Source organism: Homo sapiens, chromosome 7, assembly GCF_000001405.40.
Source record: "Homo sapiens chromosome 7, GRCh38.p14 Primary Assembly".
In the NCBI taxonomy this organism is placed as follows: Eukaryota; Metazoa; Chordata; class Mammalia; order Primates; family Hominidae; genus Homo; species Homo sapiens.
In genome coordinates this window covers 98,892,925-98,910,726 of record NC_000007.14, presented here as the reverse complement: position 1 = coordinate 98,910,726, position 17,802 = coordinate 98,892,925, and the positions used below count along the sequence as shown (strand labels likewise).

At 43.6% G+C, this 17,802-nt stretch overlaps 1 protein-coding gene across 3 annotated transcripts in view; it reads right to left on the bottom strand.

The window, feature by feature from the left end:
* TRRAP (transformation/transcription domain associated protein) overlaps nucleotides 1-17,802 on the bottom strand; it is a 134,710-nt gene that overhangs the window by 102,515 nt on the left and 14,393 nt on the right. For all 3 annotated transcript variants that reach the window (NM_001375524.1, NM_001244580.2, NM_003496.4), the window contains exons 6-16: nucleotides 16,846-16,929; nucleotides 14,907-14,963; nucleotides 12,861-12,986; nucleotides 11,228-11,305; nucleotides 10,960-11,048; nucleotides 10,007-10,103; nucleotides 7,210-7,348; nucleotides 4,472-4,550; nucleotides 1,765-1,999; nucleotides 308-671; nucleotides 120-217 (exon numbers count right to left, since the gene is read on the bottom strand). In NM_001375524.1, the coding sequence (NP_001362453.1) occupies nucleotides 120-217; nucleotides 308-671; nucleotides 1,765-1,999; nucleotides 4,472-4,550; nucleotides 7,210-7,348; nucleotides 10,007-10,103; nucleotides 10,960-11,048; nucleotides 11,228-11,305; nucleotides 12,861-12,986; nucleotides 14,907-14,963; nucleotides 16,846-16,929 (1,446 nt within the window). The remainder of the gene's footprint in view (nucleotides 1-119; nucleotides 218-307; nucleotides 672-1,764; nucleotides 2,000-4,471; nucleotides 4,551-7,209; nucleotides 7,349-10,006; nucleotides 10,104-10,959; nucleotides 11,049-11,227; nucleotides 11,306-12,860; nucleotides 12,987-14,906; nucleotides 14,964-16,845; nucleotides 16,930-17,802) is intronic.

Here is a 17,802-nt window from a genome sequence, read left to right as displayed (position 1 = left end):
TACAAATACTGTGGACCATCCAAATACTAACAGCTCTCACTGCCACCCCACCACTATGACCTCTAATACTAAGAGGTACTTTCCATATGCGAAAGCCTGGCTGGAGGGCACTTCCTTACCTGATAAATATCTAAAGCTTGCATTGCATATTTCACAAGTTTGATGTAAATCTGTGTCTCTTTGGGTTGTAACTGCTTGTTGGGAATGAACTGAGCTTCTGGAAAAGAGAAAGTATATTAAGTTAACTTGAATAAAACTCACTTTATGAAAACTATTGTTTGTCTACATAACTGAAGAGCAGAATTACCACCAGGTGCTTTGCATGATGTTATGCCCCACGTGATTGTCTTGACACCACACACCAAGGTTTTGACCAAACTTCGACAGTCTGTGACTTGGAATGTCTGCTTGTCTTCCTTGTCCTTTTCTCCTTGCTTCTCGAAGGGAGGCACGGGGGCCGGGGTCACAGGGGTGGCAGGTGGGGGTGGGGGCGGGGGTGGAGGTGGGGCAGGGACAGGGGCTGGGGAGGGAGCAGGGCCAGGAGCTGCAGGGGCAGTGGGCACCCCAGGCAGAGCTGCTTCCACGGCTCCAAGTTCTGACTGAGGCTTACACTTCTTAAAAATGGCAGAGAGCTGGTACCGAGCAATTGTGTGGAATTTGAGAACGAAAACCTAACGGGAAGAGAAATTCAAGAGGGAAGACAGAATTATTCTTCTTCAACAGGCCAAATACTGCTCAGATCACAGTAAAATAAGATGGGACTGACACCAGCTGCTCAAGTCATGCTGCTTTTCTATGAGGTTGGTGTCAAAGGAATTGCAGTTTTTGCCATTACTTCTGATGAAACTGCAGTTACTTTCGCACCAACCCAACAAAACTGGTGGAAGGCTGGTAACATCTGGGCACCTCCTTTGTGCCACGTGTAAAGGAAAAGGTGCCGATTTACTCCCAATACCATATCCGTTTTGCATGTGCAGAGTCTGGCTCAGGAAGGCTGAGTGACTGGCCTGACAAGCAGGGCCTGGATTTCATCCAGGACTACAGGCCTCGTCCCAACAGGGCCCCGCCACCACCCCTGGGGCTCAGGAATCACATCCCTCACACTCTGGGTGTCTCCCCAGAGAGGTCCACAGCCAGTCTAGCACTTGGGTACTATGCCCCCAGAAAATAACTCTCCTAATTACTTGCCAGGAAGTGTGCTAAGAGCTTTCAAGCGCTGCCTGATTTAACTCCCACAGCGATCCTATGAGGCAGATATCATCACCCCAAGTGAAAAGATGAAAAAACTGGTGCACAGAAGTGAAGCATCTGGGGAGCCTGGGTCTGAACCTAGGTGGTCTAACTCCTGGGATCAAGCCTAGCGATCAAGCCGCCCCTACAGCACTGGTTCAAGTTTGGCCACAAGTCCGGCATGGTGGCTCACGCCTGTAATCCCAGCACTTTGGGAGGCTGAGGCAGGAGGATCACTTGAGGCCAGGAGTTCGAGACCAGCCTGGTCAACATGGGAAAACCCTGTCTCTACTAAAATACAAAATGTTAGTTGGGCATGATGGTGCATGCCTATAATCCCAGCTACCTGGGAGGCTGAGGCATGAGAATCACTTGAACCCAGGAGGCAGAGGTTGCAGTGAGCTGAGATCACGCCACTGCACTTCAGCCTAGGCAACAGAACAAGGATCTGTCTCAAAAAAAAAAAAAAAAAAAAAATTTAGCCACAAACAGGATAGAGTGCAGGATGGATGATACTCTCAGAAGAGCTGGTACCTCCAGCATCCGCATCAGGACGTCTCTCCCATTGCCACTCTCCTGCTCGCTCTTGGAACGGATGCAGTCCACCAGGTTCAGCAGGAGCTTGCAGGACATGGTCTGGATGCTGCTGGGCAGGGACTCATCGTCGATGTTCTTGGCGAAGAGCTGGACGGCGAGGGAGAGGTCGCTGAGGGGCAGGTGCTGGCGGACATGGTGCACGAGGTCGGCCAGCGTGCTGTAGGCGAGGGGCCTGCGGGCAGAGACCTCGACTAGTGCTCATTCCCACGTGGCCATGCCTGCTGCAGCAGGCCACCAAGGATATCACCATCTGCCCCAGGAACACCACCCCTGGGTCGGCACACTTACATGGCCCATTTTCACCACATTACTCTCTCCCAGATACATGACAGAAGAGGGCTCAAGTTTTGTACTGATACCTCCATCTTTACCTTCCAAGCTAAAAGGTTAACTTTGTGCACGTCATAAAGTTACTAATAGATGCTGGCACATACAGCTAAGCCAAGGAGGAATATTACCAGCTTGATCATGCACTGAATGGGTTTTGTTGCTCAAAAATAAATAGGACGGGTCAATCAATCTTTATATATGATGACCACTTTACAGAGACACAGTAAGAATTTTCAGGCTACTAGTTTTTTCCCTCACTAAACACAAGGACACCTGTCATGTGCCAGATCCTGGGCCTGCCAGGGACACCCCAGTGACCCAAGTAGAGCCCCAGTCCTCAGGAAGCTTACTTACAGCAGAGAACACACAAGTAAAGAAATAAGCTACACAAGTTAGTAAGTGCTAGCGGGGATGTGAAAAGGGCACATGAGAAAGATGAGTGGGGCAAGCTATTCTTAAACAGGGTTCCAGGGACAGTTCCTTTGAGGTGGCACTGAAGTTGAGATCTTAAGGACAAAAAGGGGCCATAAGGCAAAAATCCAGGGAAATTTCCAGATGGAAGAAACAGGAAAGATAAAGGCCCAGAGGTGGTAACTGCCTGAAGTAGCCAAGAAGCTATAGGGGCCAGTGTGGCTGCAGCACATCAGGGAGGGCAGCTGTAGGGGCCAGCATGGCTACAGCAGGTCAGAGAGGGGAGCTATAGGGGCCAGCATGGCTGAAGCAGGTCAGGGAGGGGAGCTGTAGGGGCCAGCATGGCTGAAGCAGGTCAGGGATGGGGGCTGTAGGGGGCGGCGTGCTGCAGCAGATTGGAGAGGGGAGCTGCAGGGGCCAGTGTGGCTGCAACAAGTCAGAGAGGAAGGACCAACACAAGATGTAGAACAGGTGGACAGAGCCAAATCACGCAGAGACTCAAATGCTATGGTCAAGAGTTTGGGTTTTCTCTAAGAACTACAGAAAGCCACTGGAGGGCTTCGAGCAGGAGTAACATAATCTAACGTCCAATTCTAGGCAAGTTCAACCCCAAGTTACAAAAAATGTCTTAATATTTTATAACATTGTCTATAGAAAACAGTGAGAAAACTGCATCATATTCAAAGGAACCTAAACATTTTTTAAAAGATCCATCACGCCTTCCTTATTGGAAGTAAAATATGACAAACATTGATTCATTTTATAATGTAAAGATGATTAAATGTTAATTTTCTGCTTTAGAAATAGTAACCATTATCACTACTTTTTTTTTTTTGAGACAGAGTTTCACTCTTATTGCCCAGGCTGGATTGCAATGGCATGATCTCAGCTCACTGCAACCTCTACCTCCTGGGTTCAAGCGATTCCCCTGCCTCAGCCTCCCGACTAGTTGGGATTACAGGCACGCGCCACCACGCCTGGCTAATTTTGTATTTTTAGTAGAGAAGGGGTTTCTTCATGTTGGTCAGGCTGGTCTCAAACTCCCGACCTCAGGTGATCTGCCCGCCTCGGCCTCCCAAAGTGCTGGGATTACAGGCGTGAGCCACCGTGCCTGGCCACAACTACTTTTTTTTTTTTTTTAAGTGTAAGAAACAAAGATTATACGGACATACATTAAGATATTAGCAACATTACTCCATCTCCCTGTGCAGGACCAGAAGGTTTTCTTCCCTTCTATCTTCCTGGTAGGTTATAAAAAAAAATTTCTTTTTAACAAAAAAAGATGCATTATACAAAAAGCAAAAAACAATAATAAAGTCAGATAAAGTTTTACCTAAAATTAAATCAAGATGATTACTCTGATTTCTTCCTTTAAGCTAGAGCACAAAAAGTAATCTAAGGGCTTTCCAAAAATCCTGCAATTCTTGGCTGGGCACAGTACCTCACGCCTGTAATCCCAGCACTGTGGGAGGCTGAGGCAGGCAGATCACCTGAGGTCAGGAGTTCAAGACCAGCCTGGCCAACATGGCGAAACCCCATCTCTACTAAAAATACAAAAATTAGCCAGGCATGGTGGTAGGCACCTGTAATCCCAGCTACTCGGGCAGCTGAGGCAGGGAGAATTGCTTGAACCCAGGAGGCAGAGTTGCAGTGAGCCAAGATTGCACTGCTATACTCCAGCCCGGGTGACAGAGTGAGACTCGGCCTCAAAATAAATAAATAAATAAATAAATAAATAAATAAATAAATAAATAAAACAAAAACAAAAATCCTGCACTTGCTAACCTAACAGGTGTGTCAAGGCTCAACAGCCGGTGTTCATTGAAACACTTGTAACATGAAGTGCCAGTAACTGATGCTCCTGGCATTTAACCAACCAGATATCACTGGTTTAATCTCATACCTTAGAGTCTCTCTGGCAGTATATCCTGAGCCAATTAGTATGGATTCATCAAACAGCTTGTCCATGCAAGGAATGAACTCTAGAAGACAAACATCCATTGCACAGATCACTAACAAAACCAATTACACACATTAAATTACTTTACAGTGCTTTCGAAGTAGCCAGCCCGCCAGTCTGATATGCAATCCAGACCTGAAAAGGGACAGAGAGGAGACCAGAAAGGCACAAGTGCTATTTCAGTCTAACATAGCAGCTCTGCTGGGCCACACCAGCCACCTGCTGTCAAAGATGCAGTCAGGGTCACGTTCAGGGTCAGAGATCAAATTAAGAATAAATCAGCTTGGTGTCCCCTGGCAGAGATCCCACCTCTGATACTTAACTGTGGGCACATCCCACCATCCTTAAACATTGTCACCACCCTCCCAACCAGTTTGGACAAGGGAACAGGATCTCCTAAATGCCCCTTTACTACCCTGAAGCATATTGAGAAGACCTAACGATGTTTCTCTATGTAAATTACAAAGGTCCAGGCGTTTTTACAATGTTCTCACAGGCATGAGTCCCAGGTTACGGTTCTGCATTCCCTGGATGATGCTCATCAGAATCCCCACCGGGGTTCCTCTCTTGCTCTATTCCTGCAGGTGGAACCACCCCTAAACTTACTCTCTGCGTCCTTGCAGGCCTGAACCTAACCAGGGTTCTATAGAAACAACCGGTCACCACTCAGGGACAATTCAGGCTTCTGAGGATGTGCAGATGGGGCAGCGACAGCATGTCCACACTTCCCCTGGGGAGTTCTATTAATACAATCATCCCAAAGGGTGTTCAGGTTCTGGAATAAGCCTGACATAAAGCCAGCTGCAGTAAGTCAAATAAAGTACATTTCCCACCAGCTCGTAGCTATTGAGGGTCAAAGGCATAAAAGAAATGCAGACACTGAAATGTGCAAGATGCACATCTCTAGGTAACTGCACAGCCAGGCAGCACACGGAGGAACAGCCAAATGGAAACAGCCACAAGCAGGCCCCTCTGAGGTCAGAGGATGCAACAGGCCAGGCAGGCTGCAGTGAAGTGGCCAAGATGAAGGAGGCACAGAGGGATGCAAAGGGCTCAGCCGTGACATGGAGAACTGGCTGGGGAGGTGGGAACACCTCCAGCAGAGGGAGGAGTGATAGGAGATGAAATTGCGTGACCACTACTTTCCAGATCCTTTCCATGACCCAGAACCAGAATCTCTAGGAAAATGCTGAACTTGTTAAAATGGCAGGTTTTCTCAAACCACTGGCTCTTCAGAATGAGTGAAAATGAGTTACCACTTGATAACGTTGCAGGTGCCAAAAAAGTAAGGTGAAGAGAAAATGTTGGTGGAAGTGGACGTTTTAACTGTAACACACAGTTAACATTTAACATGATTCTCTACATGTTTCTTTCCACCAAAACTTTGAGATGTGATGCTAATGTCTATTTAAGTCTCAGGAACTACTAAAAGGCTTCAAAATAAAGCATCCTATAATATCTTGTTAAAAACAAAATCAAGCCAACTAGTAAACGGAGTTTTAAAAAAGGGAAGACTAAAAGCTGAACCCCGAAAGTCTAATGTGATCAACCCCTGCAGGGCAGCAGCTTGGGAAGCCAGCAATTCTGGCTAGCAGCTGTGAACACTGATTAAAACCAAGCTTTATGCCTTCAGAAGGGGCTAGCTTGTACAGTAACGGGAAGGAGGTGACCTGGTAAGCATGAAAAGTATTTTTTTTTTTTTTTTTTTTTTTTTTGAGACAGAGTCTTGCTCTGTCGCCCAGGCTGGAGTACAGTGGCGCCATCTTGGCTCACTGCAAACTCTGCCTTCCTGGGTTCACACCATTCTCCTGCCTCAGCCTCCCAAGCAGCTGGGACTACAGGTGCCCGCCACCACGCCTGGCTAATTTTTTGTATTTTTAGTAGAGACGGTGTTTCACCGTGTCAGCCAGGATGGTCAGGATCTCCTGACCTCGTGATCCGCTCGCCTCGGCCTCCCTAAGTGCTGGGATTACAGACGTGAGCCACCACACCCAGCTGAATCTGTCAGCAGATCTACAAGAATCCTTGTGCTACAAAGGTCCCCAACACACCTCCAAAATTCTTACTCATGGCAGGAGTACTGGAAAGAGGTTGGGTGCAGTGGCTCACACCAGTAGTCCCAGCACTTTGGAAGGCTGAGGCAGGCACATCACTTGAGGTCAGGAGTTCGAGACCAGCCTGGCCAACATGGTGAAATCCCATCTCTACTAAAAATAAAAAAATTAACCGGGCGTGGTGGTGGATGCCTGTAATTTCTGCTACTTGGGAGGCTGAGGCACGAGAACCGTGCCCGGCTAAGATCTGATGGTTTTAAAAAGGGGAGTTTCCCTGCACAAGCTCTCTCTTTGCGGGCCACCATCCACGTAAGATGTGACTTGCTCGTCCTTGCCTTCTGCCATGACTGTGAGGCCTCCCCAGCCACGTGGAACTGTAAGTCCATAAAACCTCTTTTTCTTGTAAATTGCCCAGTCTCGGGTATGTCTTTATCAGCAGCGTGAAAACAGACTAATACAGGGAGGCAGAGAGGGAGAGAAAAGAGGGGAAAGAATGAACCCAAGACAGCAATGAAGGAAGCAAGGATACATGGAAACCTCACAGCACAACTATGGAATGTCAGCCGAGTCCCCAAAGATGGCCACAGGACTAGCATCAGCATTCAAGACAAGACAGGCTGGACGTACGGTTTCTCAGCTCTGTGGTGAGGATGTGTTTGGCAGCAATCAGAAGCTCCTTTCTGAGGTGTGCAGTCTCTGCTGGACAATTTGAAAGTAACTGGAGCATTCCTTTCACCATCTGCTGAGAATACTTAGTCACCAACTCCTGTAAGAACAGAGTGAGATGACACAGTTACAGGGATAGGAGAGTGTTAAGAAAAATTCAAATGTTATCAGCTTCTTAAAAATTCAGTAAGACCTTTGGGAGGCCGAGGTGGGTGGGTCACATGAGGTCAGGAGATCAAGACTAGCCTGGCCAACATGGTGAAACCCCATCTCTACTAAAAATACAAAAATTAGCTGGGTGTGATGGCACATGCCTGTAATCCCAGCTACTTGGGAGGCTGAGGCAGAACAATCACTTGAACCTGGGAGGAGAAGGTTGCAGTGAGGCAAGATCAAGCCACTGCACTCCAGCATGAAAGAGTGAGACTCGTCTCCAAAAAAAAAACCGTTAAGACTAAGCTTGACTCAAGTGACCCTCGACTTCCTGGGCTCACGCCATCCTCCCACCTCAGTAGCTGGGACTAAGGGTGCATACCACCATGCCTAATTTTCTTTTTTTTTTTTTTTTTTAGAAATGGGGGTCTTGCTATGTTACCCGAGCTGGCCTCCAACTCCTGGGCTCAAGCAATCCTCCCACCTGCTGGGATTATAGGCATGAGCCACCATGCCAGGCTTCTAAGATTTTTTTTAAGGTAATTACTTGTTTACTTAGTCATCCCATTAATGTAAGTTGTGAACAACAGTGGAGTCAACTTGAGCCAACTCAGAACAGGCTCTAACCACAATCTTCTTTTGCGGTGTCAGCAGAAGGCCACTCACCAAGATAACGCAAGCTGACTAAAATGTCAAGGGGTACCTAATTTGACTTTTTACACCAAATGTTCCATTTTCTTCATGTAAGCTATCATTATCTAATCATATGCATTAAAATTAAGGGGGAAAAGATTACAAATGCTTTCAAAAGTAGTTTTTATTCTAAACAATTCAGCTCTTTAATTTTTATTTTTCTGAAATAAAAGCCATACAAAAAGCATAAATTATAATCCAATTCCATTGATATAGATCAGTACTGAATTTATTCCATACTATAGAACAATCATATAAGAATTCTTTTCAAAAACACTAAAAGGAGATAAGGTATTTTTTCCTTCAAGTTCTCATGATTTAAATAAGAACACAACTATGCATGAAAAAATGAAACAAAAATCCACCATACAGTCTCCTCAGAAAAGCACCCAGAACTTCTTCATCAGTTTTACTGATAACGCCTTTTAAATTCCAATCTCTCTCACACCTAGCTGCCACAACACACAACTTCTAACAGCAGCAAAAGTCAATGAACCAAATATGTCCATACAAAAATCTGCATGTAAATGTGCATAGTTGCTTTATTAATAATGGCCAAAAATGAAACAGGCAAATCCGTAAAGACAGAAAGTACAATCGTGGTTGCCAAGAGCACATAGTCAAGGAAGGCTGCTGATGGGACAGGGTTTCTTTTTGGGATGATGACGTTATTCTAAAATTGGATGGTGGTAATGGTACAAATCTGTGGCTAAACTAAAAACCACTTAATTGTACACTTAAAGAGGGGGAACTTTATGATACATAAACTATATCTCAATAACGCTGTTTTTAGGCCTGGCTCATGCCGGTAATCCCAGCACCATGGGAGGCTGAGGTGGGCAGATCACTTGAGGCCAGGGGTTCAAGACCAGCCTGGGCAACATGGCCAAACCTCACCTCTACAAAAAATACAAATATTAGCCAGGCATGGTAGTGCATGCCTGTAATCCTAGCTACTCGAGTGGCTGAGGCACAAGAATAGCTTGAACCAGTGAGGCAGAGGCTACAGTGAGTTGAGATTGTGCCACTGCACTCCACCCTGGGCAACAGAGTGAGATTCTATCTCAAAAAATAGTAAGTAAATAATAAAGCTGTTTTCAAAAACATTAGAAATAATCTGAATACTCATCAGTTGGTGAATGGATAAACACACACCATGATACATCCACACAATGGGATTCTACTGCTGTGGATTGAGCTGCATCCCCTTAAAATTCCCATGTGAAAGCCCTAACTCCATATGTGACTGTATCTGGACACAGAGTCTTCAGGAGGGGATGAAAGTTCAGTGAGGTCATACGGCTGCAGCCGTTATCTGGCAGGACGGTGGCCGTGTAAGAGGAGGAGAGAACTCTCCCTCTCTGTTCGCCATTGTGAGGACACAGCAGAAGGCAGCTGTCTGCAAGGCAGGAAGAAAGCCCTCACCAGAAACCAGAACCTTGATCTCAGACTTCCAGCCTCCAGAACTGTGAGACAATTGCTACCGTGTAAGCAACCTAGCCTATGGGATTTTTTGTTAAGGCTGCCAAGCAAAGACAACTACACAGCAATAAAAAGTAATCAGTAAAACAAGGTCCTATCTCCACATTACTGCTAAGTGAAAGAAGCCAGACTCAAAAGGTTGCAGAGACTAGACACTGGACATTTCCATTTAGATGACATTCTAGAAAGGACAAAACTATGGGGACCAAATAAATCGGTGTGTATGCCAAGGAATGGAGGTGGTGGGAAGAAACTGACAACAAATATATAACAATGGAATTTTGGAGGTTGATGGAAATGTACCGTATTTTGATGTGTTAGTAATGATTACCAATATTTGTCAATTCCTAGAACTGTACACCCACAAAAGGTGAATTTTATTGTATGTAAACTATCTCAATAAACCTGACATAAAAGTCAATGACCTTACCTGGTAAATCCTGATAATGTAAGCTAAAAATGACAATGTTTTAATCTGAGCAGCAATGAAGTCAGCATACAACTCCTTGTTGTAAAGCTTATGTTGCCTGAATAAGAAGAGAACAAAAATATTACCTCTCAATTATGAGTGATGTTAGTATTAATTAAAAGCCTGTAACCATTACTAAACCCAAAAGATTGATTTCCACACAGACCCAAACAACACAGCAACAATAGCAAAGGTGTCTACACCTTTCGTGCAATTCCAAATAACATAAAAGTTTTAAGGAAACACACCAACCAGTTCTCCAGCCCATTCCATAGCAGTTACAATGTGAATCCCACAAAGCCAGTGCCAGGCCGTTCTACTCAATCCGCAGAAAGAATTCGAGTAACATCTGCTCAGTGCAAGACCCCAACTAGGGCCGTGGCGATGGCCAAAGAAGATTCCTCCTCAGATGCTGCCCTCAAATGACACAGCCAGACGGGCTCCAAGTCAGGAGGGTGCATGAAGACAGTCTCAGGAGGAACGTCCTTAGGTTTGAGAAAAGGCTTCACCGAGAGGCTTCAAAGGATGAACACAGCCTATCTGGAGATGAAGGCTGATGGGGAACTGAGGGTGTAAAGAACATTCTAGCACTCAAGCTGAACAATCAGCAAGAACAAAGTCTTGAAGGTGAGCAAGGCTTGGACATGCCATAGCTGTCATTGAGCACGGTAATGCCTGACGACATTTTTAATTTACAACGCACCAGAATACGAGCTATTATCTCATCTTTCCAAATTAAGAACGAAAATAGCTACAACTGTCATCCCTGAAACACAGGTGCAGAAAGTCAACAGTGCATATAATTTTACCAAAATTTTATCACTCATAATTTTCATGTCTTAAGAATGACAACAGCAAGTGTATTTTTACTTGGAATCCAGGCACTGTGGCAGCCGGCTACAGTGACGCCTCACCTCGCTTGTGCAGACACCTGAATGGCAATGGTGTTCATGATCAAGGGCACAAACTCAGCAACAACATTGTGGATGTTCAGTTTGTAGAGCTAAAAGCAAACATACCAGATTTTCATACATTGACACTCTGCTATGGCGACAAAATCTGGCATACCGAAGAATCATCACATTATTTAGCATGTGTGTATTATACACATCTTTTGGCCCCAGATGCCAATTTTCTTATAAGAAGCCCAAAACCCAAGAGACTAATGAGCAATACACATACCTGATACATTAAAACAACAATAATGGGCAATTCTGCCAACACTTTCAGAGAAAGTGATCCCCTCGGAATGATGGAATGCTGGAAGACAGAAATGGGTAGGACCCGGGTTACCATTGTGGCATTTAAAATAGCCCCCACCAGTGCCCACTGAGCATCACCCACTGAAAGAGAGAGAACGGAAAACAGTGACACCTCTTTGTAAATATTTGTGATGAAAGATCCAAACTGATGAAAGATCCAAACTATGTTGAAAACAAAGTATGCAGAACTATCATTTAATACAATTCAATATGAAGGTTTTCTTTTTTTTTGAGATGGAGTCTTGCTCTTGTCACCAGGCTGGAATGCAGTGGTGCGATCTTGGCTCACTACAGCCTCCACCTCCTGGGTTCAAGCCATTCTCCTGCCTCAGCCTCCTGAGTAGCTGGGATTACAGGCATGAACCACCACGTCCAGCTAATTTTTGTGTTTTTTAGTAGAGATGCGGTTTTGCCATGTTGGCCAGGCTGGTCTCAAACTCCTGACCTCAGGTGATCTGCCCACCTTGGTCTCCCGAAGTGCTGGGATTACAGGTGTGTGCTACCGTGCCCGGCCTAAAGGTTTGCATATTTTTCTACATAATCATTTGTAAAAAGTTCAGGAAACTATGTCCAAACTTGGAGATTCAAATCATCTGAGAAATTTTTAAAATGAATGCCTATGACTTCACTTATTTAAAAGAACAGCACAAAGTACAATTTACTCAGCAGTTTTATTCAAAGATATTTATAAACAGAAAATGCTTACAATATACAAAAGTTCAACAGTCCTAATATATAAGGACTCATGAAACAAGGAAAATGTCAGGCTCAAAATACAGATGGGCAATGGATATCAACAGACAAGGAAAAAAGAAAATACAAAGGAATGATACTCAGAAAACAAATTTCTAACTAAGAACAACAAAAGGAGGAAAGCGTTACTCAAAGTTTCTTGTTCATCCTAGCACAACTGAAACACTCTGCACAACCATTTCAGAAAAACAAACATGGATAATAATTCAATCACAAAAATTGTCATAGTAAGTGCTCAAAACATGTTACCTATGTGGCAGACACCACAAATATACGATACATTACCTGCGGACCATGCCAGCATTACCTTCACAAAGTCCGTGAGACAGGTTTTTCAGATAATGAGAGGAAAAATAAGGTCAGAACGCAGGTTCATTAACTTTCTTGGAGTCAGAAAACCCCAGTGGGGCCAGGACATTGTACTGGAGCTCTCTGTCCTAGAGCCCACACTCTCAGTCACTGAGCTATATGCTTTTATCTATAGTTTAAGGGACTTTATTAATGTCAAAAGACTCAAAGCTAAGGGACAGAACAGACACCCCACACCTGGTCTGCTGCTCTTCCCAGCAGGGTGATTCTGGGTTTCAACAACAACCTTATCTTTCTAGCCTGGCATCAATGACACCCAAAAGGTCACTTTCACCCCTCCCAGGCTGCAGAGAAGGACCAGTGATGCTTTGCCAGGCACACACGTTTGTCTTAAATGCCTCCAAGTATTTAAGAGAAAAAAAAATGGTTTAACAGGCCAGTATCCGAAACTACAGGAGCCACGGGTAGAAATAACTCAGCGAAACACTTACTGTTCGAGTCTCACTGTCCTCACGCTCCGGGTTGACTTTCACAGCAATCGTTGTTATCATACCAACCATTTCTGGGGGAGGCACTGTGTTCTCGGGGATCACTTGAGGGTTCTCAAAGTAGCGGTTCTACATAAAAGTCATAAAAATATTTTTTCCTAAAGTCAAACCCAATATTCATTCAAAAACAAAACAAAACAAAACAAAACAAAAAGACGCTTGACTCTTTGGTGGAAAAAAACAGTATGTTCTACATTTTTATGCTGCACCAACTCCACAGTATTTAGGCTCAGCCATTCATTTTCCAATGCCCCTTAAAGCCTAAACCAACACACACTAGACGTTTACTCTTCCCACAGGACCATAAAGATAACACGACAGGGACCATGTTCTCCATCTTCAACAACAGAAGACAAAGCTTGCCTAAAAGTATTTTCTACTCTTTTTGCCCTGGCTAATAAATGATTAAATACAAACCCTATTACATTCCTACCACAGTGAGGCAGGAAAGAAAGCACTCCATCCCTTCTGGGAAGAAACTACGAGCTGGCAGTCCCCACTGATTAATTTTTCACTCTCTAAATAGACATCAAAGAGGGAACAAGCAAAACACAGGACATTTTTTCTTCTTTCTTGAGACAGAGTCTCGCTCTGTTGCCCAGGCTGGAGTGCAGTGGTACGATCTTGGCTCACTGCAACTTCCACCTCCCGGGTTCAAGTGATTCTCCCGCCTCAGCCTCCCAAGTAGCTGAGATTACTAGCGCGCACCACCATGCTTGGCTAATTTTTGTATTTTTAGTAGAGACGGGGTTTCACCACGTTGGCCAAGCTGGTCTCGAACTCCCAGCATCAGGTGATCCACCCACCTGGGCCTCCCAAAGTACTGGGATTGCAGGGGTGAGCCACTGCCCCTGGCCAAAACACAGGACATTTTTAAAAGCCAGGACCTCACTGCCAACCTTCGCTCTCAGTGGATTTGGGGTTTCACGTTCAACAAGGCAGCTGCCTATGAAAAGCAGCGCTCGGGCTTTGACAGGAGGGCAGGTGGCAGGACTTGACAACTCAAAGTCACTAATTTTAAGTTTTATACATTCTCCCCAGACTGAAATCCTTTAAATGCCAAAAAGAGTCAATTTTATCCTATATCAATTTAAAAACTTTTTAAAGATTAAAAAAGAAATCTTTAGGCTGGGTGCAGTGGCTCACGCCTGTAATCCCAGCACTCTGGGAGGCTGAGGTGGGTGGATCACCTGAGGTCAGGAGTTCAAGACCAGCCTCTACTAAAAATACAAAATTAGCTGGGTGGGTGCCGCACGCCTGTAATCCCAGCTACTTGGGAGGCTGAGGCAGGAGAATTGCTTGAACTCAGAAGGTGGAGGCTGCGGTGAGCAGAGATCACGCCACTATACTCCAGCCTGGGCAGACAGAGACCCCGTACCCCCGCACCCCCAGCCAAAAAAAAAGAAAGAATTATGATTCCCAGAAGAAGAGTCTGGAAGAAGCTATTCCAAACTGGCAAGAGTGTTTACTTCTAATAAGCAGGAAGGAGATGAGGAGATTTTCCTCCTCTACTCCACAAACCTGTATATTGTGGCACTGCTTATAAAGAGTTCTTAATGAGATCGAAAAAAAAGTTAGTAAAATTTAAAAAAAAACTGAAAATATACACCACCTCCCCAAAAAGTCTTCGAGCCTGTAAACTCAACCGTCTTTAAAATGCACAAAGTGAAAACCAAAAGCAAAACCTCCATGTCAATGGTTGCTTACCAGTAAATGAATTATGACAATTATTTTTCCAAAATTTCTACAATAAAAACATATTGCCTTTATGTACAAAAAAAGTACTTAAGTGAAACAGAAAAACTAAAAAAGCTACTTTTTTGAATGGCTGACTTATCAACCCAGTTTTTAACCATTGCTAAACATTCCCCATTCTAAAATAGTAAACCCTCCCCACACACTATTTCTGCAACCCAACTGTTCTAAAGTCTTTTTGGAATAAGGAAGTATAAACAAATGTAACTAATTAAAACCAAAGTAAAAACATACCACTACTTTTGGAAGCTCCTTGTAAATCTGTTTCACAAAATCCAGAAAATGATGAATCTAAAAAAAGCAGACACTTTCGTTATAGGAAGATATTCATAAACAGAAAATACCCATAATAAATAAGAAAAGTTGTAATTGTCTTACTACGTAAGAACTCATAAGAGAGGTAAGGAAAATGGTGGGCTCAAGATACAAATAGGCAATGGATGTAAACAAACAAAAAAATAAGTAAATATAAAGGACTGATAAACAGATAACAAGTTTCTGATTCAGGAAGAGCAAAGAGTTGAAAATTAAAATAAATGCCAGTTTTTGCCTTTCACAAAATAGTAATACACAATGCCTGATAGGATGGAACGAGAGAAAGACTCTCATATACTGTGGGGCCGTAAACCACTGAAACCTTCCTAGAAATCAGCTTAACACAGGAGCATTAACACTTCAATGCCTTTGCCTCGGTAATTCTCCTACAAAGCTAGTCTATGAAATAATTTGAACAGTAAACAAAGGTATTCCATAATAACCATTAAAATAAGAAATTTGAAATACCTTCAATATCCAGAAATAAGGACACCCATAAGAAAGAATACTATGTACCCATTAAAAAATAATTGTGGATGGGCACAGTGGCTCATGCCTACAATCCTGACACTTCGGGAGGCCAAGACTAGAGGATCACTTGAGGCCAGGAGTTTGAGACCAGCCTGGGCAACATAGACAGACTCTGTCTCTACAAAAATTTTTTTAAAAATTGTATACAGAATTTTTTATGACTGTGAAAATGCTTACACTTAACATGATCAAGCTATAAGATGTTATATACAGTATTACCACAATTATGTAGAAAATATACAAAAACATTAACGTGAGAAAAAGGAAAGAACAGGCCAGGCATGGCGGTTCATGCCTGTAATCCCAGCACTTTGGGAGGCTGAGGCAGGCGGATCACATGAGGTCAGGAGTTACAGACCAGCTTGGCAACATGGTGAAACCCCATCTCTACTAAAAATACAAAAAAAAAAAAAAAAAAAAAAAAACCATTAGCTGGGTGTGGTGGCATAAGCCTGTAGTCCCAGCTACTTGGGGAGGCTGAGACAGGAGAATCGCTTGAATCCGGGAGGCAGAGGTTGCAGTGAGCCAAGATTGCGCCACTGCACTCCAGCCTGAGCAACAGAGGAAGACTCATCTAAAAAAAAACAACAAAAGAAAAGAGAAAGGAAAGGAAAGAAAATCACCAAGACATAAAATCCTGTTTTTGAGATGGTAGGAATCCTATTTCATCTTTATGCTTTTAATTTCTATTTTAAGTTATTTAATTCAATAAATAATTTTTAATTTTAATAAATAATTTAATTTCTACCTTAAATCATCTATAACAGGCACTTATTTAGGTTATCACCAGAGAAGATATAATTATGGTAAATGTATACTTGCTGCTTACTGTATAGGTAGATGCCAATCACTGTGCTAATAACTTTAAACTTTATGTCTAATTCCTCAAATGACATTTTAAGGACATACTATGATTATTGTCACTTTACAGAAAAATCTCCAAAAGGTTACAAACTTAACCAATGTCACACAGCTACTGAATTGCAGAGGTGAGATTCAAACCCGGCTCTGGCTTCAGAGCCCACATCTTAATCCCTGTACAACATACAATGACTTGTACATCATACGCATAAATACCAGAACAGCCCAAATAACCTGTCAGTTTGGTCATTTAATACATTTCAACTACTGAACCAATTTAGCAAAGTATTGATAATAACATTTTTTTAAGTCACTGTTAAACTCATAAAGAATTGCCCCAAACTTAGGCTGTATTTCTACACTTGAAAACAGTATGTGTTCAGCCAACTTTGAGACAGCAAAAAATTTCACAGAAGGAACATGTTGACACACTTTATAAATGCTATAAGGATTTTAAACAACTTACTTCTTGTGTGATCGGTGGCCTGAACTGTTTGTGTAGCTCAATAATTATTCTTAGACAAATAAGAACATTTTCTTCATTTTCCGTCTAAAAAAAAGCATTTAATGAAAGTTATACTTCTGAAGACTCACTTTAAAGGCTAATTTTCTCAGCAGTTTCTGCACACACACTTTCCATCAACCAACTATTGGATTTGCTGAAAATTCATCAGCTCACAGAACACAGTTGTCCCAGACAGAAAGCTTCAGTGCACCACCAGAAGGGAATCCCACCAGCCAGCTCTGCATGAGTAACCTGGACAGGGGCTTCACTGGCCTTTGTGGAAAGTGGCACCAGGAGCTAAGGACTTCATGGCCCAAATGACACTTTCCATTGTTGGACAATATTGTGAAAAGACCAGGAAAGAATTATTGGGCAAGTGCCAAGGACTGGACCCTGTGCTAAGCACCTTACAAATGCTCTGTGAGGATGGGGTTCCATCTACATCTGACCTGTGAGGGCATGATATCTCAGGGGTTAAGCACTGTGGCTGACATGACACAGCAACAAAGCGCCCCAGCCAAGACAGAATCCAAGCTCATCTTTCCAATAGGCCCAGAAACACGACTGAAATCTAACTGCATCAAGATTAGGAGGGCTGGGCGAGGTGGCTCACGCCTGTAATCCGAGCACTTTGGGAGGCCAAAGCGGGTGGATCACAAGGTCAGGAGTTCAAGACAAGCCTGACCAACATGGCGAAACCCCATCTCTACTAAAAATACAAAAATCAGCTAGGCATGGTGGCAAGGGCCTGTAATCCCAGCTACTCGGGAGGTTGAGGCATGACAATCACTTGAACCCAGGAGGTGGAGGATGCAGTGAACCAAGATCACACCACTGCACTCCAGCCTGGGCCAAGACTTCATCTCAAAAAAGAAAAAAAAAAAGAAAGACTAAGAGAAGCAAGAAAACAATTTGGAG